The sequence below is a fragment of the Homo sapiens genome, chromosome 15 (assembly GCF_000001405.40).
Source record: "Homo sapiens chromosome 15, GRCh38.p14 Primary Assembly".
NCBI classification, from domain to species: Eukaryota; Metazoa; Chordata; class Mammalia; order Primates; family Hominidae; genus Homo; species Homo sapiens.
Genome location: NC_000015.10, coordinates 90,681,272 through 90,708,495, shown reverse-complemented (window position 1 = coordinate 90,708,495; position 27,224 = coordinate 90,681,272). Strand labels below are relative to the sequence as shown.

At 44.6% G+C, this 27,224-nt stretch overlaps 1 long non-coding RNA gene across 1 annotated transcript in view, besides 1 other annotated feature; it reads left to right on the top strand.

Moving 5' to 3' along the window:
* Positions 1-27,224, top strand: part of CRTC3-AS1 (CRTC3 antisense RNA 1) — a 97,132-nt gene that overhangs the window by 8,645 nt on the left and 61,263 nt on the right. The window lies entirely within an intron of this gene.
* Positions 24,939-25,439: an enhancer, noted in NCBI's record as "H3K4me1 hESC enhancer chr15:91226288-91226788 (GRCh37/hg19 assembly coordinates)". NCBI's record gives its function as "activates a minimal SCP1, AML or CMV promoter by ChIP-STARR-seq in primed H9 embryonic stem cells {active_cell/tissue: H9 hESC(primed)}" and the evidence as "EXISTENCE:reporter gene assay evidence [ECO:0000049][PMID:30033119]".

Below are 27,224 nucleotides of genomic sequence, written 5' to 3'. Positions count from 1 at the left end.
CTTCCAAAATCAGCTCAATTTCTGATTGGATAGAATTATCATTCTTTTGAGGTACATGGGCCAACAGAAAATAGAGTCAACCATTCAGAGAAAAATATTATTAACTTCGACCTTTAAGGTTATTTTATACACAGTATTTGGCATACAATAAAAAAGTATTAGTCGGCAGGGCACAGTGGCTCATACCTGTAATCCCAGCACTTTGGGAGGCTGAGGCAGGTGGATCACTTGAGGTCAGGAGTTCGAGACCAGCCTGGGAAACATAGTGAAACCCCATCTCTAATAAAAATACAAGAATTAGTCAGGTGTGGTGGCGCATGCCTATATTCCCAGCTACTCAGGAGGCTGAGGCAAAAGAATCGCTTGAACCCAGGAGGTGGAGTTTGCAGTGAGCGGAGATCGCACTACCGCACTCCAGCCTGGGTGACAGAGCGAGACTCTTGTCTCAAAAAAAAGAAAGAAAATGTCTGTAAGTACAGAAAGATAAAACAGAAAGAACAATGTTAACTACAAAGTTCTTGTTTAATGTCTCCCTAGAATACAATATTTAGCCGAGAAGTTTACTCACATAATCTTAGCATGTTTGTTGTAGAAAATAAAAGGGAATTTTGTTTATTTAAATTATAAATAAACTCATTTTGTAATCATATTATATAAATTCCTGTTAGAATCTTGGATCTAGTTTTTTCTTCACAGATTGCAAGTAACATAAAATAAAGCTTCCACCAGATTTGAATCTAAATACCACACTCACTTTACAATTCTGAATTTTGGTTTCTACATTTGTAAAATAGAAATAGTAATACATGTCTCATAAGTTTAGTATGAAGATTAAGTGACGTAAGGCCCTCGGTATAATGCCTGGTATAGAGTAAATATACATTATTATTGCTGTTATTACTTTTGGAGACAGGGTCTCATTCTGTCACCCAGGCTGGAGTGCAGTGGTACATTCATGGCTCACAGTAGTCTTGAACTCCTAGGCTCAAGTGATCCTCCTGCCTCAGCCTCTTGTTTAGCTGGGAGTACAAGCACATGCCACCATGTCCAGCTAATTTAAAAAAATTGTTTTTCCAGAGACAGGTTCTCGCTATGTTGCCAGGGCTGGTCTTGAACTCCTGGCCTCAAGCGATCCTCCTGCCTTGGCCTCCCAAAGTGCTGGGTTTATAGATGTGAGCCACTGCACCCAGCTATGAAAAATTAATTTTTCCTCAGGCATGCATATCTACCATGTTACAGGAATCATCACAGGGAGTATGAGGGAATAGACTCCCATTAAATGAGATGAGATTAAATGAGACAGTGGATGTAACTCAGTAAAGTCCTTCTAAATGGTGACCTTTATTATTATAATAACATAATCTCAGTCTGCCAAATCAGGTGTGCAACAAACTATTTTAACGTAATGACTTCACGTGTGTTTTGAGTTCCCAGTCTGCTAGATAACAGCAAATTAATCTTAGATATGTGAGGTTTGTTTGTTTGTAGAGGTCTCACTGTGTTGCCCAGGCAGGTCTCAAATTCCTGGCCTGAAGCTGTCCTCCCGCCTCAGCCTCCCAAAGGGTTGGGATGACAGGCGTAAGCCACCATGCCTGGCCCAAAATTTGGAGTTTTCTTTCCTTCCTGCTGGATGGTGCGTGAGTTCTAGGGTCTTACCTTGTGCCAAGATGTGAGTTGGAGGGCAATTTTTCCTTATAATCATCTTTCCTCATAGGTCACACAGAAGTGGCCTGTTCTTGTGCCTATGCCTTCTTCAAATCTGGGGCATCCTCCCTCCACTTCTATTTACAGCCTGGGGGCCATGGGAATCTTTCTGTTGCTTCAGTGTCAAACAAGGGCATGGACATCTTAGAGTGCCTGTGGCGTTGCCAACCAAAACACCCTATACGCAGTGCCATCTCTGGGGTCCTGCTGTTCCCTGGCATGCAGCCCAGGAATCAGGGCCTCAGGCCTTTCTTCCTTGGAGCCACCTTGTCACTGCTCTCTCATATCAGTGCCTCACTTCTGTCTCCCACTGCTTAAGGGTCTTTTAATCTGGTCTCCCTAAAGAACTTTACCTATTATTACCTATTATTAAGAATAGGTTTAGTTTCTTTCAGAAACTATTGTTTCGGAGTGTTTTCCACTTTTGTTACCATTTCATCTCTCATCTGAGCCAATAGACACATAGATTGCTTAAATGGCTGAAGGCGGGGGGAAGGGAGGATACTAGAAGAAAATAAAAACAAGGCCGGCGCAGTGGCTCATGGCTGTAATCTTGGCACTTTGGGAGCCCAAGGCAGGCAGATCACTTGAGCCCAGGAGTTCAAGACCAGCCGGGGAAACGTAGGGAGACCCTGTCTCTACAAAAAATAAAAAATTAGCCAGGCATGGTGGTGTGCACCTGTTAGTCCCAGCTACTCCAGAGGCTGAGGTTGGAGGATTGCTTGAGCCCAGGAGGTCAAGGCTGTGGTGAGCCAAGCTCATGCCACTGCACTCTAGCCTGGGCCACAGAGCAAGACCCTGTCTCAAAAAGGGAAAAGAAAGAAAGAAAGAAAAGAAAAACATATCAGGTAAGGGTTCCAACTGTAATACAATTTTCTTTCTTTTTTTTTTCTTTTTGAGACAGCATCTCACTCTGTTGTCCAGGCTGGAGTTCAGTGGCGCCATCTCGACTTACTGCAGCCTTGACCTCCTGGGTTCAAGTGATCCTTCCACTTAAGCCTCCCAAGTAGCTGGGACCACAGGCATGTGCCACCACGCCCAGCTAATTTTTGTATTTTTTGTAGAGACGGGCTTTCACCATGTTGCGCAGGCTGGTCCTGAGCTCCTGGTCTCAAGCAATCCTCCTGCCTCAGCCTCCCGAAGTGCTGGGATTACAGACGTGAGCCATCAGGCCCAGCCTATAATGGAATTCTTATTATCAGATTAGCCTTTCTGCCTTAAACAACCATGAAACTGCCCAAAAGCTATGAGCAACCATTTTCAAACAATAGACAACAGGCAGTGCATGACAGTAATCCCCAAGATCACTGATGAGATGTTTCCCACAATTTCTCTGTCTCTCTGCTGGCGACAGCTTTCCAATTGCAGCATAGCAAGCTGGAATTCTGGCAGAGTAGGGATGCCCTGCTGTGTTGAGAAGAGATCAGAGTGAAGGGCTGCCGAAACCGCTGCAGTCCATAAGTCGTGGCCCTGGAGAGAATGGAGCTGCTTATGTGGGAGGCAGAGATCCACACCATGGCTTTCTCATGAGTTCTTAGCTGAAAACTGGGCTGTACATGTGTAGGGAAGACTACCTGAGGGTTACCAGAGAGAGGCTGCTACCCAGTTGAGAGCAAAGCAGATAATAGAGGTCAGGCAGATAACAGAATCCAGAGCCTCTACAATGTATCATCCAGTGTCCTTGACACAATCTACAATTCCTAAACATACAAGGAAACAGAAAAATATGACCCATAGCAAAAACAACAATCAATAGAAGCTGACCACAAGGTGGTCCAGATGCTGGACTTAGCAAAGACTTTAAGGAAATTATTATATGTTCAAAATTCTAAAGGAAAGTGTGTTTAAAGAATTAAAGGAAAATATGTTTAAATAATTAGGCCAGGCGCGGTGGCTCAAGCCTCTAATCCCAGCACTTTGGGAGGCTGAGGTGGGTGGATCACCTGAGGTCAGGAGTTCGAGACCAGCCTGACCAACATGGTGAAACCCCATCTCTACTAAAAATACAAAAAATTAGCCAGGCTTGTTGGTGCGTGCTTGTAATCCCAGCTACTCGGGAGGCTGAGGCAGGAGAATCTCTTGAACCTGGGAGGCGGAGGTTGCAGTGAGCCGAGATCGCGCCATTGTACTCCAACTTGGGCAACAAGAGTGAAATTCCGTCTAAAAAAAGAAAAGGAAAATATGTTTAAATAATTAAAGGAAAATATGGTCTTTTTTTCTTTTTTTAAGAGACGGTGTCTCACTGCATTGCCTAGGCTGAACTTGAACTCCTGGGCTGAAGAGATCCTCTTGCTTCAGCCTCCCAAGTAGCTGAGACTACAGCCATGTGCCCCCACACCCAGCAGGAAAGGTGTTTTCTTTTGAGGCAGGTTCTAACTCTGACACCCAGGCTGGAGTACAAGTGGCATGATCTTGGTTCACTGCAGCCTCAACCTCCAGGGCTCAAGTGATCCTCCCACCTCAGCCTCCCAAGTAGCTGGGACTACAGGTGCACACCACCATGCCCAGCTAATTTTTGGTTTTTTTTTTTTTTTTTTTTTTTGGCAGAGACAGGTTTCACCCTGTTGCCCAGGCTGGTCTCAAACTCCTGGGTTCCAGCAGTCCACCCACCTCGGCCTCCCAAAGTGTTGGAATTACAGGCATGAGCCACCACACCCAGCCAGGAAAGATCTTAATGAGTGAATGAATAGAAAACCAAGCAGACAAGCTGGTGGCTCCTGCCTGTAATCCTAGCACTTGGGAGGCCAAGGCGGGTAGATCACTTGAGGTCAGGAGTTTGAGAACAGCCTGGCCAACATGGTGAAACCTCCTCTCTACTAAAAATACAAAAATTAGCCGGGCATGGTGGCGCATACCTGTAATCCCAGCTACTGAAGCTGAGGCAGGAGAATCTCTTCAACCTGGGAGGTAGAGGTTGCAGTGAGCCGGTATTGCACCACTGCACTCCAGCACAGGCGACAGGACAAGACTCTTTCTCAAAAAAAAAAAGAAAAAAAAAAAAAAACCACCAAGCAGATAAATGTCAATTATAGCAAAGTACCATCTAGAAATTCTAGAACTGAAAAGTATAATAACTGAAACAAAAAGTATTTAAGATGGACTTGACTTCTTATAGAGAAGGCCGAAGACAAAGATAGGCAACTTAAAGACAGATCAAGAAAAATGATCCAGTCTGAAAAACAGAGAGAAAAAGGACTGAAGAAAAATACGGCAAGCCTCAGAGATCCGTGGAACAATATCAAATATCTGGATATATTTGCTTGTCTTATCATTATAAGAGAGGGACTAAAGACCAATGGGAATTTGGGTAGGGCTTACGAATTGTGCTTGTCACTATCATGTGCCCTGGGGAGGCCCTATGTTGGGATACCTCCAGGATCACTTTATTTAGGTGTTTCAGGCCGCTTGGATTCCCCAGAGAAGCCTCTTTAAATGTTCCAATCTCCTGGTAATGCTCAGGGAGCCCAGTGGGAGAATAGAGCTGGACTCAGCATCTAACATTCAATAGCAGTAGTCACTTAAACCCTTATTTTTGGTACAGTACTCACATCCTCAACTATGCCTGGTTTCCTCAGTCCACAGACCTTTATTTTACCATCTGTAGGTACTAATGCCTCTTCTTGGAGACAAGGGAGGGGCAGTTGCTAATAAGTATGGAGTGGGTGAGGGGATCTCAGGATCTAGCTGCATCTCAAACTGCTTTCACCCAGTTCTCATTATTTTGGACCTCCTTTCACTCCCAATTCCAGAGATGCCTGGGTTCTGTCAGTTTCTGTGCCTTTTTAGGATACTGTGATGGTTAATATGTGTCAAATTGACTGGGCCAAGTGCCCAGATATTTGGACAAACATTATTCTGGGTGTTTCTGTGAGGGTGTTTTTGGATGAAATTAGCATTTAGGTGGGATCTGGTGGTTCATGCCTGTAATCCCAGCATTTTGGGAGGCCATGGTGGGAGGATTACTTGAGGCCCGGGTTTTGAGACCAACCTGGGCAACACTGCAAGACCCTGTCTCTACAAAAACAAAATAAAAAAGAAATTCGCATTTAAATCAGTAGACTTGAGTGAAGTCAATTGCTCTCTGTCTCGGTCTGCTCAGCCTACTATAATAAAATACCATACACATGCTGGTTAAACAACAGAAACATTTCTCACAGTTCTGGGGGCTGGAACGTCCAAGGTCAAGGTGCTAGGCAGTTTACCTTCTGGTGAGGAGCCTCTTGCTGGCTTGCAGATGGCTGCCTTCTCACTGTGTCTTCCTCACGTGGTGCAGAGAGAGATCTCTTGTGTCTCTTCTTACAAAGCCACTAATCCCATAATGAGGGCTCCCATATGCCCTTGTTGCTCCCAAAGGCCCCATCTCCAAATACCATCACCCTGAGGGTTAGGGCTTTAATGTGATTTGGGGGGGACACAAGTGTTCAGTTCATAACATTCCCCATAGTGTGGGTGGTCTCATCCAGTTAGTTGGAGGCCTGAATAAAGACTGACCTTTTGCCCCAGCAAGAGGTATTTTACAGCTGACTTACTTGGTCTGCTGAAAAATACCTCTTCATCCACACTACAGATTTTGGATTTACCAGCCAAATAATCATGCGAGCCAATTCCTTTTCTCTCTCACTGTCTTTGTCTTTTTCTTTCTGTCTCTCCTACATATGCGCTCGCACACACACACGCGCACACACACACACACACGCACACCCCTTATTGCCTCCTATTGTTTCTCTGGAGAACCCTGCCCACTACTGGCCCAAGAATGGTTCCTTCTTAGGTCAGCTAAGACAGTCACCACTCTTCTGCTTTCTAGGTTCCAAAAGCTTGCTGCTGTTGTCTCTCTCTCTCTTTTTGTTTGTTTGTTTGTTTGTTTTTCTTTTTTGAGACAGGGTTTTGTTCTGCCTGCCAGGCTGGCGTGCAGTGGCATCATCTTGGCTCACGGCAACCTCCGTCTCCCAGGCTCAAGTGATCCTCCCATCTTAGCCTCCCGAGTAGCTGGGACCACAGGCATGTGCCACCAAGCTTGGCTAATCTTTTTTTCTTTTTCTTTTTTTTTTGTTTTTGTTTGTTTGTTTTTGAGACAGTCTCCCTCTGTGGCCCAGCCTGGAGTGCAGTGGTGCAATCTCGGATCATTGCAACCTCTGCCTCCCAGGTTCAAGCAATTTTCCTGTCTCAGCCTTCCAAGTAGCTGGGATTATAAGTGTGTGCCACCATGCCTGGCTACTTTTTTTTTGGCATTTTTAGTAGAGACAAGGTTTCAACGTGTTGGCCAGGCCGGTTTGAACTCCTGGGCTCAAGTGATCCACCCGGTTTGGCCTTCCAAAGTGCAGGGATTATAGGCGTGAGCCACCACGCCTGACCTGCTGTCATCTGTTCTGTTCTCATTGTTGTAGACTTATTGTAGTTTTTACTATATATACAGTCACTTTACTATAGTAGGTTTTTGGGGGAATGGATCTAGATGTGCATGTTTAATCTGCAATTTCAGCCCAGAGCTCCTGGACTTCCTAATTCTTAAGAGTGATTTAAATAACAGAACGTTTCCTGGAAATTGTGTTCTTATGCAATATGTTAGCAGCCTTCTGTTGGTCTCCCCCTCATTAAAGGGCCTCAAAAGAGATTTCTTCTTTTTTTTTTTTGGCAGGGCCTTGCTCTGTTACCCATGCTGGAGTACAGTGATGCCATTATGGCTCACTGCAGTCTTGACCTCCAGGGCTCAAGCCATCCTCCCACCTCAGCCTCCTGAGTAGCTGGGACTACAGACATGCAACACCATGCCCAGCTAATGTTTAATTATTTTTTAATAGAGACCCAGTCTCATTTTGTCGCCCAGGCTGGTCCTGAACTCTTGGGCTCAAGCAATCTTCCCACCTCCCAAAATGCTGGTATCACAGGCTTGAGCCACCATACCCTGCCCTCAAAAGAGAGAAATTAATTAATTAATGTATTTATTTTTGAGACAGAGTCTCACTCTGTCGCCCAGGCTGGAGTACAGTGGTGTATCTTGGCTCACTGCAACCTCTGCCTCCTGGGTTCAAGCAATTCTGCTGCTTCAGCCTCCTGAGTAGCTGGGATTACAAGTGCACGCCACCATGCTCAGCTAATTTTTGTATTTTTAGTAGACACTGGGTTTCTCCATGTTGGCCAGGCTAGTCTTGAACTCCTGACCTCAAGTCATTCACCCACTTCGGCCTCCCAAAGTGCTGGGCTACATGCGTGAGCCACTGTGGCTGGCCAAAAGAGATTTCTTAATCTACCTTCCTTCTTGTGTACAAAAGGGCCACAAAGCTATTAAAATAAATCATAATTATGTCTGTTCCAAGTCCATTACTTGAACATGACAAATCAGTAAGAGACACTCATTTTCTTCTAGAGAAGTAGGTATCTTCAAGGGCCCTGGGCTCACCACAAGTTCACAAATGCATAGCTTCTTGGACATGTCTGGCCTTAGCTGACAGTAAATACTAAAATATACTTCAGATACAAAACATCTACTACATCTAACTCAAGCTAGCAATGTCAAATGATTACCTTGGTCTTAACATCTAAAAGGCTTTTTCTTCCCTTAAATGAGTCCTAGCATTAGGTATCCCTGATTACAGTAAGCAGTTCACTCTTCCATTAAAAAAAACAACCTTCATTATACAAACACAGACTAATGGAGACAACGCCCTAGTGCCTGTGATCATTCTTCTTACGCTGGAAAATACCTGCTTTGCCTCCAGCCTGTGTTCTGTGGCCAGGACAGCTGTCTTGGTAGAGGCTTCTTGTGTTTTCATCCTGGTGTCCCTCTTTATGGGGCTGCTCCACCTCAGCACTCCTTCTAAAAACCAAAATGCAATTCCTATCAACTGTCGAATATGTAAATATTACATTTTACTCATCTCTGCTGGTCATATTACCCTTATGCTTTGCCTCCCAGTAAACCCAGCATCTTTTTTTTTTTTTTTTTTTTTTTTTTTTTTTTTTGGAGATAGGGTCCTGCTCTGTCACCCAGGCTGGAGTGCAGTGACGCAGTCACAGCTCACTGCAGCGTCAACCTCCCAGGCTCAAGCTTTCCTCCCACTTCGGCCTCCTGAGTAGTTGGAACTAGAGGTGCACTTCACCATCCTGGTAATTTTTTTTTTTTTGAGACAGAGTCTCCCTCTGTTGCCCAGGCTGGGGTGCAGTGGCGCGATGTCAGCTCACTGCAACCTGTGCTTCCCAGATTCAAGCAATTCTCCTTCCTCAGCCTCCTGAACAGCTGGGATTACAGGTGCCTGCCACCACGCCCGGCTAATTTTGTATTTTTAGTAGAGACGGGGTTTTGCCATGTTGGCCAGGCTGGTCTTAAGCTCCTGACCTCAAGTGATCCACCCACCTCCAAAAGTGCTGGGATTACAGGTGTGAGCCATCATGCCTGCTTGTATTTTTTTTTTTTTTTTTTTGAGACGGAGTTTCGCTCTGTGGCCCAGGCTGGAGTGCAATGGCACGATCTCGGCTCACTGCAAGCTCGGCCTCCCGGGTTCACGCCATTCTCCTGCCTCAGCCTCCCGAGTAGCTGGGACTACAGGCGCCCGCCACCACGCCCGGCTAATTTTTTGTATTTTTAGTAGAGATGGGGTTTCACCATGTTAGCCAGGATGTTCTCGATCTCCTGACCTCATGATCCACCCACCTCGGCCTTCCAAAGTGCTGGGATTACAGGTGTGAGCCACGGCGCCTGGCTGCCTGCTTGTATTTTTTTGTAGAGATGGAGTCTATGTTGCCCAGGCTGGTCTCTGAACTCCTGGCCTCAAGCAATCCTACCACCTCAGCCTCCCAAAGTGTTGGGACTACAGACACGAGCCTCTGTGCCCAGCCTCCAACATCTTTATTCTACCTCCAGTCTACTAAAAACCTCACAATTGTCTTGCAGTCTTTTTCATACACCTTTGCCTTCACAAAGCCTTTCTTCCCTCTTTTCCGTTAGCAGAATCTTGGTTTTTGTAGGCACATCTATGCTCCCCTCCGCCAACCAACACCTTCCCCAGCTCAGGGGCAAATCTTGATTAGCTGGGTACCTTTTCCCTGGATGAGGATTGGCCCAGCATGGACATGTGATACAGTTCTGGCCCATGAGACAGATTTCATGGGGAGGCTTCCAAGAAGTTTCCTCATTCTTTAAAAGAGACCCCCAGGAAGACTCATTCTCTTTTGCTAATCCTTGCTGAGGCTGACTGTGGCATCTGGAGCTGCAGCAGCCTTCTTGTGATCAGGATGGAATGAAGAGAAAGACAGAAAGACTGAGGGCCCTTCACAACGTCAGCAAATCCACCAACCATGGGGCTTAGCTGCCCTACTTCAGGAAATGTTGTTTAATGAAATAATAAAATGCCCTAACTTTTTTTTTTTTTTTTTTTGAGATGGAGTCTCACTCTGTCGCCCAGGCTGGAGTGCAGTGGCGTGATCTCAGCTCACTGCAAGCTCCACCTCCCAGGTTCACGCCATTCTCCTGCCTCAGCCTCCTGAGTAGCTGGAACTACCAGCGCCTGCCACCACACCTGGCTAATTTTTTGTATTTTTAGTAGAGACGGGGTTTCTCTGTGTTAGCCAGGATGGTCTCGATCTCTTTACCTCATGATCCACCCGCCTCGGCCTTCCAAAGTGCTGGGATTACAGGCGTGAGCCACTGCACCCGGACTAACTTTTTTTTTTTTTTTTCAGAAACAGTGTCTCACTCTGTTGCCCAGGATAGAGTACAGTGGCCGCATCATGGCTTGCTCCAGCCTCAACTCCTGGGCTCAAGGGGGAGCCCGACTAATTTTGTATGTTTTGTTGTGTTTTGTTTTGTTTTGAGACAGGGTCTCACTCTGTCACCCAGGCTGGAGCTCACTGCAGCCTCCACCTCCCCAGGCTCATGTGATCCTCACACGTCAGCTTCCAGAGTAGCTGGAACCACACGTATGTGTTGCCTGGCTAATTTTTGATTTTTTTTTTCTTTTTAAGTTTTGTATTTTTTGTAGAGATGGGGTTTCACCGTGTTGCCCAGGCAGGTCTCAAAATGCTAGACTCAAGTGATCCTCCTTCCTTGGCCTCTTTAAAGTGTTGGGATTACAGACTTGATAGCCACCATGCGAGGCTTTTTTTTTTTTTTTTTTTTTGAGATGGTGTTGTGCTCTGTCACCCAGCCTGGAGTGCAGTGGTGCCATCATAGCTTACTGCAGCCTCAACCTCCGGGTCTCAAACCATCCTCCCACCTCAGCCTCCCGAAGCTCTGGGATGACAGTCATGAGCCACCATGCCCAGCCAAAATGCCCTAACTTTTTAAAGCCAAATTGAAGTTGGATGTACTAGATCTTTTTCTGATTGGTCCTTCAGACTCATTTCTCTCTGTCAATCAGGAGGCTGGGTTTGGCCTGTGACATGTATCAACAGATCAAAGGGTGGGAGTACAGAGCCAGGTCCTGGTTCACTGGTGGCTGCATCCTTTGCCCAAGGTCATAACCCCTGTCAGGTGGCTTTTGTGCTGTAGCTATACATCAGATTTCAAGAACCTCTCCTTCCTTTTGCCCTCTCAACTAAAAAGTGTGGTGGTGGTTTCCTTCTGTTGCTAGTTTCATTCTTTGTGGTTCCCTGAACCCTACCTATACTTTAGTAAGTAATTGCTTCATTAGCATCTCTTAAATATCCTCTTTTGGCTGGGCGCAGTGGCTCACACCTGTAATCCCAGCACTTTGGGAGGCCGAGGCAGGCGGATCACGAGGTCAGGAGATCAAGACCATCCTGGCTAACACGGTGAAATCCTGTCTCTACTAAAAATACAAAAAATTTTTGTAGTCCCAGCTACTCGGGAGGCTGAGGCAGGAGAATTGGCGTGAACCCGGGAGGCAGAGGTTGCAGTGAGCCGAGATTGCGCCACTGCACTCCAGCCTGGGTGGCAGAGCGAGACTCCGTCTCATAAAAAAAAAAAAAAAAAAAATTCTCTCTTGCGTTTGCCAACTCTTTTCCGCCAGGACCCTGACTAATACTTGGGTTTGCAACTGTTGCAATTACTGCCCACCTGAATGAACCCTTACTATCCTTAAAGACATTTTACTATCATCTTTCATGTAGATGAGTCTGTTCATTGGTTTTAGAGCATGAAGTGGTGTAATGTGCCCATTTTGATTTTTGTCTGACGTTCTGATAGGTGATTAATTGATTGTTTTTATCAAAACGTCTACTCTCCTAATAAATCTGTCAATTTTTTTTATTCCACCTATAACTTTTGTTTTTTATTTTTATTTTTTTGAGACGGAGTCTAGCTCTATCGCCTAGGCTGGAGTGCAGTGGTGCGATCTTGGCTCACTGCAACCTCTGCCTCCAGGGTCCAAGCAATTCTCCTGCCTCAGCCTCCTGAGTAGCTGGGATTACAGGCATGCGCCATGACACCTGGCTAATTTTTGTATTTTTAGTAGCGACGGGGTTTCGCAGTGTTGGCCAGGCTGGTCTCGAACTCCTGACCTTAAGTGATCTGCCTTCCTTGGCCTCCCAAAGTGCTGGGATTACAGGCGTGAACCACTGCTCCTGGCCCATCTATAACTTTTGGGTTGTTCACATTTATGGGAAAACAATGAGGAGAAATAAATTTCCAAATGTTTTTAGATTAATGACTTTTACATGCCTTCCAAGTATCTTCTAAAGAAGTGTTATGAGATGTTCCAGCCGGGCACGGTGGCTTACGCCTGTAATCCCAGTACTTTTGGAGGTGGGCAGGTCACCTGAGGTCAGGAGTTAGAGACCAGTCTGGGCAACATGGTGAAACCCTGTCTCTACTAAAAATACAAAAATTAGCCAGGCATGGTGGCGCATGCCTATAATCCCAGCTACTCAGATAGCTGAAGCAGGAGAGTTGCTTGAACCTGGGAGGTGGAGGTTGCAGTTAGTCGGTGATGACTGTTGAGATGTAACACCAGCAGCATGATCCGTGACAGAATTAATAAGGTGGACTTTATTAAAATTAAAATTTTCTGCTTTACAAAAGACACTCTTAAGAGAACAAAAAGACAAGACAGACTAGAAGAAAATGTTTGCAAAAGATATATCTGATAATGGACCATTATCCAAAATATACAAAGAATTCTCAAAACTTAACAATAAGAAAACAAACAACCTGATTAAAAAATGAGTCAAAGGCCTGGCATGGTGGCTCGTACCTATAATCCTAACACTTTGGGAGGCTGAGGCAGTAAGATTGCCTGAACCCAGAAATTCAATACCAGCCTGGGCAATATAGTGAGACCTCGTCTCTACAAAAAATATAAAAATTAGCTGGGTGTCGTGGTGCAGGCCTGTTGTCCCACCTACTTGCTAGGCTGAAATGGGAGGATGGCTTGAGCCCAGGAGGCGGAGGTTGCAGTGAGCCATGATTGTGCCACTGCACTCCAGTCTGGGCAATAGAGCAAGACTCTGTCTCAAAAAACAAAAGCAAACCCAAAAATATGCCAAAGACCTTAACAGACACCTTACCAAAGCAGATAAACAGATGGCAAATAAGCATATGAAAAGATGCTCCACATTTCCCTTTCATCAGGGAAAAGCAAAATAAAACAACAATAAGATGTCATTGCATACCTATTAGAATGGCCAAAGTCCAGAACACTTACAACATCAAATGCTGGCAAGCATGTGGAGCAACAGGAACTCTCATTGCTGATGGGAATGCAGAATGGCATAGCCACTTTGGAAGACAGTATGGTAGTTTCTTACAAAACTAAACCTACTCTTGCCATATGATCCAATGTTGGCTTTGAAAACTTATGTCCATACAAAACCCTGCACAGGTATTTATAGCAGCTTTATTCATAACTGCCAAAACTTGGAAGTAACTAAAATGTCCTTCAGTAGGTGAATGGATAAATTGTGATACATTCAAACAATGGAATATTATCCAGCATTAAAAAGAAATGAGCTACCAAGCCGTAAAGAGACATGAGGAAAACTTAATTCCATAATGCTAAGTGAAAGAAGCCAGTCTGAAAAGGCTACACACTGTATTATTCCAACAATATGGCATTCTGGAAAAGACAAAACTGTGGAGATGGTAAAAAGATCAGTGGTTGCCAGGGGCTGAGGGCAGGAAGGGATGAATAGGCAGAGAATAGAGGAGTTTTAGGGCAGTGAAAATACTCTGTATGATACTATAATGGTGGACACATGTCCTATATATTTTTCCATTTGTCCATAGATTGTACAACAACAAGAATGAACCTTAATATAAACTATACACTTTGAGTGATGATGTGTCAATGTAGGTTCATCAGTTGTAATAAATGTAGCACTCTGGTGGGGGATGTTGTTAATGGGGGGGATTGTGCATGTGTTGGGGGGGCATATGAGATATCTCAGTGCCTTCCTCTTAATTTTGCTATGAACCTAAAACTGCTCTCAAAAAAATAAAGTCTGGCCGGGTACAGTGGCTCACACCTGTAATCTCAGCACTTTGGGAAGCCAAGGCAGGTGGATCACCTGAGGTCAGGAGTTCGAGATCAGCCTGGCTGACATGATGAAACCCTGTCTCTACTAAAATTACAAAAATTAGCTGGGTGTGGTGGCGCGCGCCTGTTATCCCAGGTACTCGGAAGGCTGAGGCAGGAGAATCGCTTGAACCCAGGAGGCGGAGCTTGCAGTGAGCCGAGATTGCACCACTGCACTCCAGCCTGGGTGACAGAGTGAGACTCTATCTCAAAAAAAATAATAAAATAAAATAAAGTCTTTAAAAAAATAATCTTTGGCTACTTCAGCCATTTTCTCCCTTCTCAGGCCATGGCTTTGGTTTCATCCTCAACCTCCAACTAGGTTCCTCTGACAACTTTTTTTTTTTTTTTAACATTTCTCTGCTCCAAAACCAGACCCCAAATTCAGGGAGGAAATTATGTAGAGGCTGATGGTCTTACACCCAGATCACCTGTGGTTTTCCCCAAATGGCCACTTGATGGCACTCAAGAATCTTCTTCTTGTTCACATGATTCCTGGAATGGCTCATGTGAAATAAAGGGGGTATGATGAATGAAGGACTTTTGATAAAAGTCATTAGATGCTATGGATATGTTCCAGTGTGTTCCATTGTAGACCACAGTACTATCATGTCTGCCTTTTTTTTTTTTTTTTTGGTAGAGATGGGGGTCTCACTATGTTGCCCTGGCTGGTCTTGAACTCTTGGGCTCAAGCAGTCCTTTTGCCTCAGCCTCCCAAAGTGTTGGGATTATAGGTATGAGCCACTGCACCTGGCCTGTCTCTGCCATTTTTTGACAGATAATGGAACGGCATGATTCACAACAGTATTATTCTGTTAATTTCATCCAGATGAAAAAATACTGATCACATAAATAGAAATATATGTTTAGAGATGTGTAGAACTATCACCATATACAAAATATACTACACTGTCATCATCAAAGAGTTGTTAAAAGTTTTCCTACTCAAATTTGAAATATCTGCCAGGCATGGTGGCTCACACCTGTAATTCCAGCAATTTGGGAGGCTGAGGCAAGCAGATAACTGGAGCTCAGCAGTTCGAGACCAGCCTTGGCAACATAGCAAAACCGCGTCTCTACTAAAAAATTAAAAAATTAGCCGGGCATGGTGGCGTGCACCTGTAATACCAGCTACTCAAGAGACTGAGGTGGGAGGATGGCTTGAGCCCGGGAGGTTGAGGTTGCAATGAGTCAGGATCGTGCCACTCACTCCAGCCTGGGCAACAGAGCAAGAGTCTATCTCTAAAAAAAAAAAAAAGAAGAAGAGGTCGGGCGTGGTGGCTCACGCCTGTAATCCCAGCACTTTGGGAGGCCAAAGCATGTGGATCACTTGAGGTCAGGAGTTCTAGACTAGCCTGGCCAACATGGTAAAATCCCGTCTCTTCTAAAAATACAAAAATTAGCTGGGCGTGGTGGCAGGCACCTGTAATCCCAGCGGGGCCGAGGCAGGAGAATCACTTGAACCCGGGAGGTGGAGGTTGCAGTGAGCCGAGATCGCACCATTGCACTCCAGCCTGGGGGACAAGAGCGAGACTTCGTCTCAAAAAAAAAAAAAAAAAGAGAGAAATATCCTTGTCCTTTAATACAATGAGACACAAACCTCATAGGTCAAATGGGAAAGGAAGTCTGTGAAGGCTTTCAGATGCAACAAGACTTTGACTACTGACTTTCACTATAGAATCAGCGGGTGGGGGGGTATAAAATGACAAAATAGAATTTCAGAAACTAAATTGGTCAAGATGTGTGCAGAAACCTGATTCAAATGGCCTAGATAGTTCCCAGAGTTCTTGCAAGTATAAGATGCACAGCTGTCAAAGAGACATTCTCATCTTGAAATATTAATGGGTTGGCCCATGACACGTCCCTCTATACTCCCAGGGGAACCCACTTAAAAGCAATAATATATTAAATGATATCCTCCTAAATTAGTACAAAGCATTCTATAAAAAGCGTGTCAAGGCCTTCTTTTCACATGTCCTACCGTGGCAGATGCTGTTGGTGCTTCACCTGTATCCCCCTGGATCCCTTTTACCATTTCTGTCCTGTTATCCTCCACTTTCTGTGACCTTTGTTTCCAGTGGCTTGTACCTGAGGGCATCACACCTGGTCTGCTGGGGTTGCTGTGCACACCAGCATATAAAGGGAGTGAGAATGGCCTGAGAGTTTATGTGTCCTTCCTACCTGTGTTCATAACCACTGACTGGTGCAGGAAAGCCTGCACTTTCACTGATGTGAAAGCCCAGCTCCCTCACTGCAGTGGAACAAAACTATAAAGTGTAATTTCCCCTTCAGAACTCACCTCTGCATCAGGCTGAGGCTGGGACATGGCCAGCATCAAAGCCTTGCTTGGCATCTTCCTCTTCCTTTACTTCTTTTCTGCATTCCTTTAATTGTTTCTCCTGGGAGCACTTCCTTAATAAATCATTTGCACATTGCTTCTGTCTCAAAATTTGTTTTCGGGAACCCAACCTAAGAAACCAACCATCCCTGATAAACCATGCTGCCATGTGCAGCCTAAAATTGGGATACACATCCTAAAATTGGGATACACATCCTAAAATTGGGATACACACCAGAAAAAAAACTTCGTTGAAACATTGCTAATAGGGGCCTTTGGCCTTGAATCCATGACTGCAAAAATACTTCTCTAATGTGGGCAGGGAGGGGAATGAAGAGACAGAGCAATGCTGCTTAGAGCTTTGCCCTTGACACAAAAACAGGAGCTGCCAGGGAAACAACCACTGCAATCATTTGTGCTTCATGAGGAGCAGCCACCAGGGGCTGTTGGTTGTGATTCTGTTCTTCTTGCTATGGAATGATCCTGGATCTCTGTTTGTTTGTTTGTTTTTTGTTTGTTTGTTTTTAAGAGTCTTGTGCTGTCGCCCAGACTGGAGTGCAGTGGCGGGATCTCAGCTCACTGCAACCCCTGCCTCCTGGGTTCAAGCGATTCTCCTGCCTCAGCCTCCCGAGTAGCTGGAATTACAGGCGCCCACCACCATGCCTGGCTAATTTTTGTATTTTTAGTAGAGACAGGGTTCGCCATGTTGGCCAGGCTGGTCTCGAACTTCTGACCTCAAGCGATCTGCCCACCTCGGCCTCCCAAAGTGCTGAGATTACAGGCTTGAGCGCCCGGCTTTGGATGTCTGTTTTAACTTCCTCTTCAGTTGAAGGAGATTGGCAATCCCAAAACAAAGATACTTCACCAATCCAAACAAGTTTGTAAAAACCCACTGCCTCCTGAAGTCTTTGGCACTCACTTGGCTATAACTATAATTTTCTCATTCATCATCTCACCAGACTAAGAAAACAATGCTATTCTTTGACCCAGCAACATGCTAAGAACTTGTGTGTCTTTTCTTGTCAGTTATGCTCACATGGGACTCACAGTTACTGGAAGACATAACATGAAATATAGACAATTTCAGATGAGCAAAAGCTGAGAGAATTCATTTTCATCAGATTTGCACTACAATAAGCACTAAAGATTGTTCATCAGGCTGAAAGGCAAAGATATCCAGTGACGGCACTCCTTGGTATTTACCCAAAGGAGTTGAAAACGTATGTCCACATAAAACCCTGCACAGATATTTATAGCAGTTTTATTCATAACTGCCAAAACTTGGAAGCAACCAAGATGTCCTTCAGTAGGTGAATGGATAAATAAATTATGGTACATTCTACAGAAAGGAATGAAGAACATCTTATATGGGCTAATATAAAAGCCTATATTTTTTTAATTTTAAAAATAATTTCTTTAAAAAACAACTGACCAAACAAAAACAATAATAATTTATTGTAAGATTTAAAACATGTAAGGCCAGGCACAGTGGCTCATGCCTGTAATCTCAGCACTTTGGGAGTTTGAGGCAGAAGAATCACTTGAGCCTAGGAATTTGAGACCAGTCTGGGCAACGTGGTTAGACTCCCTCTCTACAAAAAATACAAACAAATTAGACTGGCATGGTGATGTGTACCTGTAGTCTCAGCTACCTAGGAGGCTGAGGTGGGAGAATCACCTGAGCCTGGGAAGTTGAGGCTGCAGTGAGCCGTGATTGTACCATTGCACACCAGCCTGGGCAATAAAATGAGACTCTATCTCAAAAATAAATAAAAATAAAACATGTAAAAGTAAAATATATGACAATAATAGCAGAAGGACAGGTAGGGTAAATGAAATTATTCTCTCTTTAGGTTATACATTTTATGGATAAATTAATTCTAAGCAAAATGTAATAAATTAAGAATGTAGGCCGGGCACAGTGGCTTATGCCTGTAATCCCAGCACTTTGGGAGGCCGAGGCGGGCAGATCACGAGGTCAAGAGATCAAGACCATCCTGGCCAACATGGTGAAACCCCGTCTCTACTAAAAATACAAAAAATTAGCTGGACGTGGTGGTGTGCACCTGTAGTCCCAGCTACTTGGGAGGCTGAGGCGGGAGAATCACTTGAACCCAGGACATGGAGGTTGCAGTGAGCAGAGATTGCATCACTGCACTCTAGCCTGGTGACAGAGCGAGACTCTGTCTCAAATAAGTAAATAAATAAATAAATAAATAAATAAATAAATAAAAATGCATACTGTAATCACCTAGAGCTAAACTGAAAATACTATATAAAGAGGTAGAGCTAGAAACCAATAGAAGAAATAAAATGGACTAATAAAAATATTTGATTAATTGAAGGCAGGCAAAGAGAACAGAATGAAAAATAGGTGGCACAAATAGAAAACAAATAGCAATATAGTAGATTTAAACACAATCATTGCAATCATTACATTAAATATAAATGGACTAAACACTTCAATGAAAAGGCAAAGATTATTAAACAGAATAAAAAACGACCCGAATCTATGCTGGATTTTATTTTGTTTTGTTTTGGCTTCGGGGATTTTTTTTTTTTTTTTTTTTTTTTTTGTGACAGGGTCACATTCTGTGGCCCAGGCTGGAATGCAGTGGCATGATCACAGCTCACTGCAACCTCTGCTTCCTGGACTCAAGTGATCCTCCTGCCTCAGCCTCCCAAGTAGCTGGGATGACAAGCACGTACCACCACGTCTGGCTAATTTTTTTATTTTTTTGTAGAGGTGGGGTTTTACCATGTCACTCAGACTGGTCTCAAACTCCTGGACTCAAGCAATCTGCCTGTCTTGGCCTCCCAAAGTGCTGGGATTACAGGCATGCGCCACCACACCTGGCTATGCTGTCTTAAGAGACACACTTTGAATATATAGAGACCAAAAAAGTGAAAATAAAAGGATAGAGAAATATATATTTAATACAGATAAGAAGGTGAAATATAAACAAGAATAAGAACAAACAAGAAAGCTGATGTGGTTGTATTCATATCAAACAAAGTAGGCATCAAGATAAGGAGTACTAGTAGATACAAGAAGAAAAACTTTATAGAAGAATCAATTCATCAAGAATACTTAACAATCCTAAATGTGTGCACTTAGTAACTATTAGTTTGCTAGGGTTGCCATAGAAAGCCACCACAGACTGATGGTGTCAATAACCAAAATTTATTTTCTCACAGTTCTGGAGGTTAAACATCCAAGACATTGGTGTCGACAGGGTTGATTCCTTCTGAGGGCCATCTTCTCCCTTTGTCTACATATTATCTTCCCTCTTTCTGTGTCTGTGTCAGAATTTCCTCTTCTTATAAGAACACCAGTCATATTGGATTAGGGCCTACCCTAATGACCTCATTTTAACTTAATTATCTCTGTAAAGACCCTAGCTCCAATTACAGTCATGTTCTGAGGTACTCAGAGTTAAGACTTACACATACAAATTTTGGGGGAGGACACAATTCAGTCCATAACAGTAATGGGGCTTCAAAATACATGAAGGAAAAGCTAATAGAACTAAAGCAATAACTAGGCAAATCCACAGTTATGATTAGAGATTTTAATATCTCTCTGTCAGTCACTGATAGACCAAGAAAACAAAAATCACTAAGTATGTGATTTTATTGAATGACACAATTAACCAACCTTGCCTAACTGACATTTATAAAACACTGTGCCAAATAACTACAGAATACACTTTTTTTTTTCAAGGACACATAAAAAATTCCCCATGATAGACCATATGCTGGACTATAAGTAGGTCAATAAATACTAAGAGGCTGATATCTTATAGATGATGTTCTCTGACCACAATGGAATTATATTAGATAGAATAACAAAAACAAATCTAGAAAATCCCCCAGTAATTGGAAATTAAACAACATACTACTAAGTAACTCATGGGTCAAAGAATAAATCACAAAGGAAATTTAAAGATATGTTAGGCGAGGCATGGTGGCTCATGCCTGTAATCCCAGCACTTTGGGAGGCCGAGGCAGGCAGATTGCTTGAGATCAAGAGTCCAAGACAAGCCTGGGCAACATGGTGAAACTGTCTCTACAAAAAAATACAAAAATTAGGTGGGCATGGTGGTGCATGCCTGTAGTCCTGGCTACTCGGGAGGCTGAGGTGGGAGGTGACCCTGGGAGGTAGAGGCTACAGTTAACCCATGATTGTGCCACTGCACTCCAGCCTGGGTGACAGAATGAGACCCTGTTTCAAAAAGCCCACAAAATTTCATTCTTTGAAAATATTAATAAAATTGATAAACTCCAGCACTTAGAAAGAAAGAGAGAAAAAAAATGGGGCCAGAGTAAAAGTTATAGCGTTTCTTATACTGTGCTTATGGGATTTCTCTATGTTTGAACTTAACAGTCAGCCCTCCATATCCATGGGTTCTGCATCTGTGGACTCAACCAACCTTGAATCAAAAGAAATGTTTTTATTTTCTGTAGTGAACATGTGCAGACTTTTTTTTCTTGTCCTTGTTCCCTAAATAATACAATATAACAACTATTTACATAGTATTTATACTTTATTAGGTATTATAAGTAATCTAGAGATGATTTAACATTCTGTATATGGGAAAATGTGCATAGGTTATATGCAAATACAACCCCATTTTATATCAGAGACTTGAGCATCCATGGATTTTGGTGTCTGAGGGAGGTCCTGGAACCGATCCACTATGGATATCCAGGGATGACTGTATATCAAAATAAAAATTTAAACAAGGTGGGTGAAATGTGCCAAATGCTACTATTGTAGGCCTCATATTTTGGTCAAGAGAGATTGTCTTTTTCTGCTGAAATGAAGACAGTAGTGGGAGAGGTGTGGAAAGGAATAAAAGTTATGGTTGAAGGAATGGGAGGGCTGAGTCAGTCCTTAGATGGAATATGACAATGGCCTTTACAAATTAGGCTCCTGTGCACCTGCCCTTCTGACCTGGATGCCTACATAAGCTGTGTGGTATCTTTGTCATATGGAGTTTTCTGAGCCACATGAGGTTTCCAAACTAGTTTTCATTCTCTCAGTGTTTCTTGTAATCAGCACTTAAGCTCCTCTTACAGATCTAACCTAAACAGCATGTAAAGCCAAGTTTTTTTTTCTCCTTCAATGTTATGGGGAAAGAGGATTATGTTTTATAGGGGGAGAAGACAGGTGTTTGAATTTAGACCTCATGGATGAAAACAAGCCTCATGTTGCATCTGAATCAGAAACAAGGCAGAGTCATTTCTTTATTCTAAAAGCCAACGGCTGCTCAGAGACAAGCAGATTGAACCACTTCCTCCCTGCACAGAAATTCTCAGGGTATACACACGCACACATTTACACACACATATGGTTAGAAGAACAAAGAAAAGAAGCAAAAAGAAAACTAATTCACTAATGATGTCATTTGCAACTACAGGGCATAGTTATATGTCTCATATCACCTAATTTCCTCCAAAAAGCGTGTTTCATGAGTCCAAGCAATTCTCTCATAGCAGTAAGTTTAAGAGTTACATTGTAGACAAGCACTAATCAAGTAGCCAAGACAGGCTAAAAGAAAAGAAAAAAAGAGACATTGTTTCCTTTTAGATTTTTATTATGAAAAATTTCAATATGCACAAAAGAGAAGTGTAATGAAGTCTTCATATACCCATCACTCAGACTCAGCAATCCAATTACAATGAGTTGGCAAAAACTATAAAAGAGGAAGCATGCAATTTGGAATCTAGAGCAGGCCACAGTTAAATTTAGCTTTACTGGGACCTTGTTTCAACATGATTAATCAACTAATCAAAGCTCGTTTGACTTCGGTTTCCTTATCGGCATAAAGAAAGGCTAGTCTCAGCCCACCATCTGCGTCAAGTGTATAGGTTCAGGTGGAAGGCTCAGGCTCTGTTCAAGATTCTGTGTCTTCGTTGATTTATTTTTAATCAAGTTTTTGGGGACAAAAAGGCTTTAGCTTATTTTTAATTTAATTTTTTTTAAGAGACAGAATCTTACTCTGTTTCCCAGCCTGGAGTACAGGGTGTGACCATAGCTCCACGCGGCCTTAAAACTCCTGGGCTCAAGCGATCCTCCTGCCTCAGGCTCCCAAGCGGCTGGAACTACAGGTGCATGCCACCACACCTGGCTGCTTTATGTTACTTTCTACATTTTCTCAGCGAAAGTGAGACTTAACATTTTCTAACTCTACAATCTGCTGTGTTTAAGATAGTGAGCAGGGTATCTGTGTGAAGATGATCACTGGGCAAGGAGATCTCTGAACCTGGGTCTCAGGGGAGAGTTCTGGGACTGGAGATCTGTTAGAAGTGACAGTCTAATGTGGGAGACGATGTCAAGAAAAAGAGTTGGGAAGGGGAGTAAGGCCTGGGTAGAGCTCTGTAGAACATTCACATTCAGGTCAGAGGAGGCACATGCAAGAGCTCGGGCATGACAGAGTCCTGGGAGAAAGAGAAATAAAAGGGTCGACCACATCAAGGGAGTGGAGGATGCTAAAGTCCTTCAGAGTGAGGCAGGAGAAAGGCTTGGCACAAAGGCTGAGGGGCAGAGAGAAAAACCTAATTTCAGCCGGGCACAGTGGCTCACGCCTGTAATCCCAACACTTTGGGAGGCTGAGGCGGGCGGATCACCTGAGTTCAGGAGTTCAAGACCAGCCTGGCCACCATGGTGAGACCTTGTTTCTACTAAAAGTACAAATAAATTAGTTGGGCATAGTGGTGCACACCTGTAGTCCCAGATACTCAGGAGGCTGAGGCAGGAGGATTGCTTGAACCCCAGACGTGGAGGTTGCAGTGAGTGTAGATTGTGCCACTGCGCTCCAGCCGGGGTGACAGAGCAAGACTCCATCTCAAAAAGAAGAGAAAAATAATTTCTGTCCAGCTCTCCCCACCCCTCCCTACTTGCTTCCTCCTGGTCCTTTTCAATTCTGGAATCCCTGGCTTCTTTGTCCCCAAGAGACACCTTTCCCCCAGTCTTCTATCATCTCTTTCTCCCCATTCCTCCCGGACTAGCTAATTCCTACTCATTGGTCAGATCCCAGCCTGAAAATCTCTTCTTGACCTTTCAGGCTAGATCTGATCCCACAGTAATACACTCTGTACTTCTCCATCAAGCATCTCGGTCGTCTTTGTGTATTTTCATGACTCTGACCAATGCCCAGGCAGTTAGCTCCATGAGGGTAGAGACCAAGTTTATAACAGGTGCCTACCTCAGGGTCTGGCCCAAGTGTGCTCAGTAAAGAGTTATTGAATGGATGAATGAATCAATGAAGGTAAGTAGGTGTTGGCATAGCCTCAGGACTCAAGGCCAGATATTCTTTCTGGAACTGCACAGAAGTTCTAGTTTATCGTCTGCAGTTGACATTGACAACCCTGGGTAACACCAACCACTGTGTACCCTACTGCTGCTCCCATGGCCAAGGTCCTGCCCGGGCCAGGCCAGCTTACTGCTCTCCAGGCTCAGCCTGGCGGTCTGAGCATCGCTGACCATCTTAGGGAGAGATGCTTCTGGGGACTGATGAGGGGGGAAGCCAGACTGGAATGCGTGGGAGGTGAGGAAAGGGAGATTGTGGATGCAGACAGCTTTTTCACAAGTTTGGCTTTGAAAGGGAGGAGAGAATTAGGAGGTAGCTGCAAGGAGATTTGGGGTTTTCAAAGCAGTTTTTTGTTTGTTTTTTTAATTTCAGGAGAGATTTAAATATGTCTAAATGTCAGTGGGCAGGTTCTAGTTAGGAGGGAGAGGTTGAGTAAATAGGAATGGGAAAGAATCCTGAGGCGAGGAGAAGAGGGGCCTCGAATGAGCACCTGGATGGTAGTTAGCAGGCTCCTTCTGCCTCAGGCTTGGCTGAGGCCCCAGACAGGCAGGGCAGCCCCTCCCAATCCCAGCATGGGATGCTAGACCACCTATGCAGGGCTGGGAGGGAAATGTCTGAGAACTGGTAGTTCTGAGTCACTGTATTGACCACCCACATCCAACTTATAAAGCGGTTGGACAGGCCGAGAGAGAGGAGCCAGAGACTAGGAAGCAGGTTTATTTTTTATTTTTTTAATTTTTTATTATTTTTATTATTATTTTATTTTTGAGACAGAGTTTTGCTCTTGTCACCCAGGCTGGAGTGCAGTGGCATGATCTCAGCTCACTGCAACATCTGCCTCTTGGATTCAAGCGATTCTTCTGCCTCAGCCTCCTGAGTAGCTGGGATTACAGGCATGTGCCACCACGCCTGGCTAATTTTGTATTTTTAGTAGAGACAGGGTTTCACCGTGTTGGTCAGGCTGGTCTCAAACTCCTGACCTCAGGTGATCCAGCCGCCTCAGCCTCCCAGAGTGCTGGCGTTACAGGTGTGAGCCACCTGCCCGGTGGAAGCAGATTTCTTTAGCAGAGGCTTGTACTGTGGAGCCCGCCCCCAGCCACACCCATGGGGGAGGGGTGAGTGCGTCCTGCTTTCCTCAGATCAACTGAGGGGGACACTGGAACCAGGGAGACACAGAGGTGTCCGAATCACACCTCGAAATCTACAGGGGCGTGTGTATGTATGTTGTCTGCCTGTCAGTCCACTGGGCTTTGGGGTTTTTTTAGTTATTATTATTTTTAATTAAAAAAAATTGAGATGGGTCATCTTGCTGCGTTGCCCAGGCCGGTCTAGAACTCCTGGGCTCAAGCGATCCTCCCACCTTGGCCTCCCAAAGTGCTGGGATAACAGGCGTGAGCCACCCGCCTGGTGTATGTACTCTTCCCTCAGCATTATGTTTTTGGGATTCACCTATGTTTCATGTATCAGTAGTTCATAATATTACACTATTAACTTTTCTTTTTTTTCTTTTTTGAGACGGAGTCTTGCCCTATTGCCCAGGCTGGAGTGCAGTGGCGTAATCACAGCTCACTGCAGCCTCCACCTCCTGGGTTCAAGCAGTTCTCCTGCCTCAGACTCCTGAGTAGCTGGGATTACAGGTGCCTGCCACCATGCTCAGCTTATTTTATATTACACTATTAACTTAAAGCTTATGATAAATATTGTTAAATTCCCCTCCAGAAAAATGTGATCAAGTTTTTTTAATTTTTTTTTTTTTTATTTTTTAAGAGATGAGGTCTTGCCATATTGCCGAGGCTGTTCTTGAACTCCCAGGCTCAAGCAATCCTCCTATCTCAGCCTCCTGAGTAGCTGGGACCACCTGTGCATACCACCACACCCGGCTAATTTTTGTATTTTTTGTGGAGATGGGGTTTCACCATGTTGCCTAGGCTGGTCTCAAACTTCTGAGCTCAAACAACCCTCCCGGCTTGGCCTCCAAAAGTGCTGGGATTACAGGCGTGCGCCACCATGCCCAGCCATGCTGGGCTTTGAAAAAGGGCTGCATCAAGAGACAGATGAAGGTCAGTCAAATGTGTGCATTCCAGATGTGGGTCACAAGCATGAGAGAGAGCGGCTGGCTGTTGGTCTAGATCAGTGGTTCTCACTGAGGGTGATTTTCCACCTGAGGGGATGTTTGGCAACGTCTGGAGACATTTTTGATTGTCACAACTAAGGGGTATTACTAGTGGGGGTCCTCTAGTGGGCAGAGGCCAGAGGTGAGGGGGGGATAGGAGGGCCTTGGAAGTTTGAGAGAGTGAAGAATTGAAGTAGTCATCCCATAAGTAGGGGAGCTAGGTGACACACAGTAGGTTGCCAAGTGTGGTGATGGCTACAGGCAAGATGTAAGAAAATGAAGGTTCCAGAGGTGGAGCCAGGACAGATTCCTGGAGGCCATTCGGGGGAGGGGGCTTCGATAGGATCCCCTAGTAGAGCCTGTGTACACTGGGGTCCATGACCCCGGCCCCTCAGCAGAGCTTCGCTGAAACCTGGAGTGGCACTGAGGATCTCTGGGAACAGTTCCTTCTTTTTTTTTTTTTGAGATGGAGTCTTGTTCTGTTGCCCAGGCTGGAGTGCAGTGGTGCAATCTCAGCTCACTGCAACCTCTGTCTCCCAGGTTCAAGCAATTCTCCTGGTTCAGCCTCTGGAGTAGCTGGGATTACAGGCACGTGCCATCACACTCAGCCAATTTTTGTATTTTTAGTAGAGACAAGGTTTCACCATGTTGGCCAGGCTGGTCTTGAACTCCTGACCTCAGGTGATCCTCCCACCTCAGCCTCCCAAAGTTCTGGGATTACAAGTATGAGCCGCCGTGCCCAGCCAGTTCCATTTTCTCTATTGCTGAAGGTCCTAGTGGTCACTCGTCCAACCTCCACATTCCTCAATGGCCCACATCAGATGAGTCAGTTCCTTCATCAGTGATGGCAGTGATTGCAGGGAACGCTCAGCCTCCTTGGCTCTGATTCTGCCTTACCAGAAGGGAGCCCTTCTGACTTGACCTCGTGGGTGCCATCGAGTGTGGTTCCAGCTCCGCATGTTCCTGACTACTCCTGCACAAGTCTGGGAGGTGAGGGATGTGGGAGGCGCAGCTCTCAGAGCCTCTTACAGAAACAACCAGCCTGGTGCTGCGGTGGCAAGAAACAGACACTGACCCCCGACCCCAAGGGAAATTCACAAGAAGGCTATGGAGTCCCTCACAACATGGAAGGGGAAATTGAAGAGCCTGGTCTGGAAAAGACAGAAAACAGGGAGGCCGTGGGGACCTAGAAGCTGGAACCAACTGAGAGTCTCATCTGGCCACACTGTAAAGATGTGTCAGCCCCAACCTCTTCTTGGCTTTTGCTTCCTCCATTCAAGGGT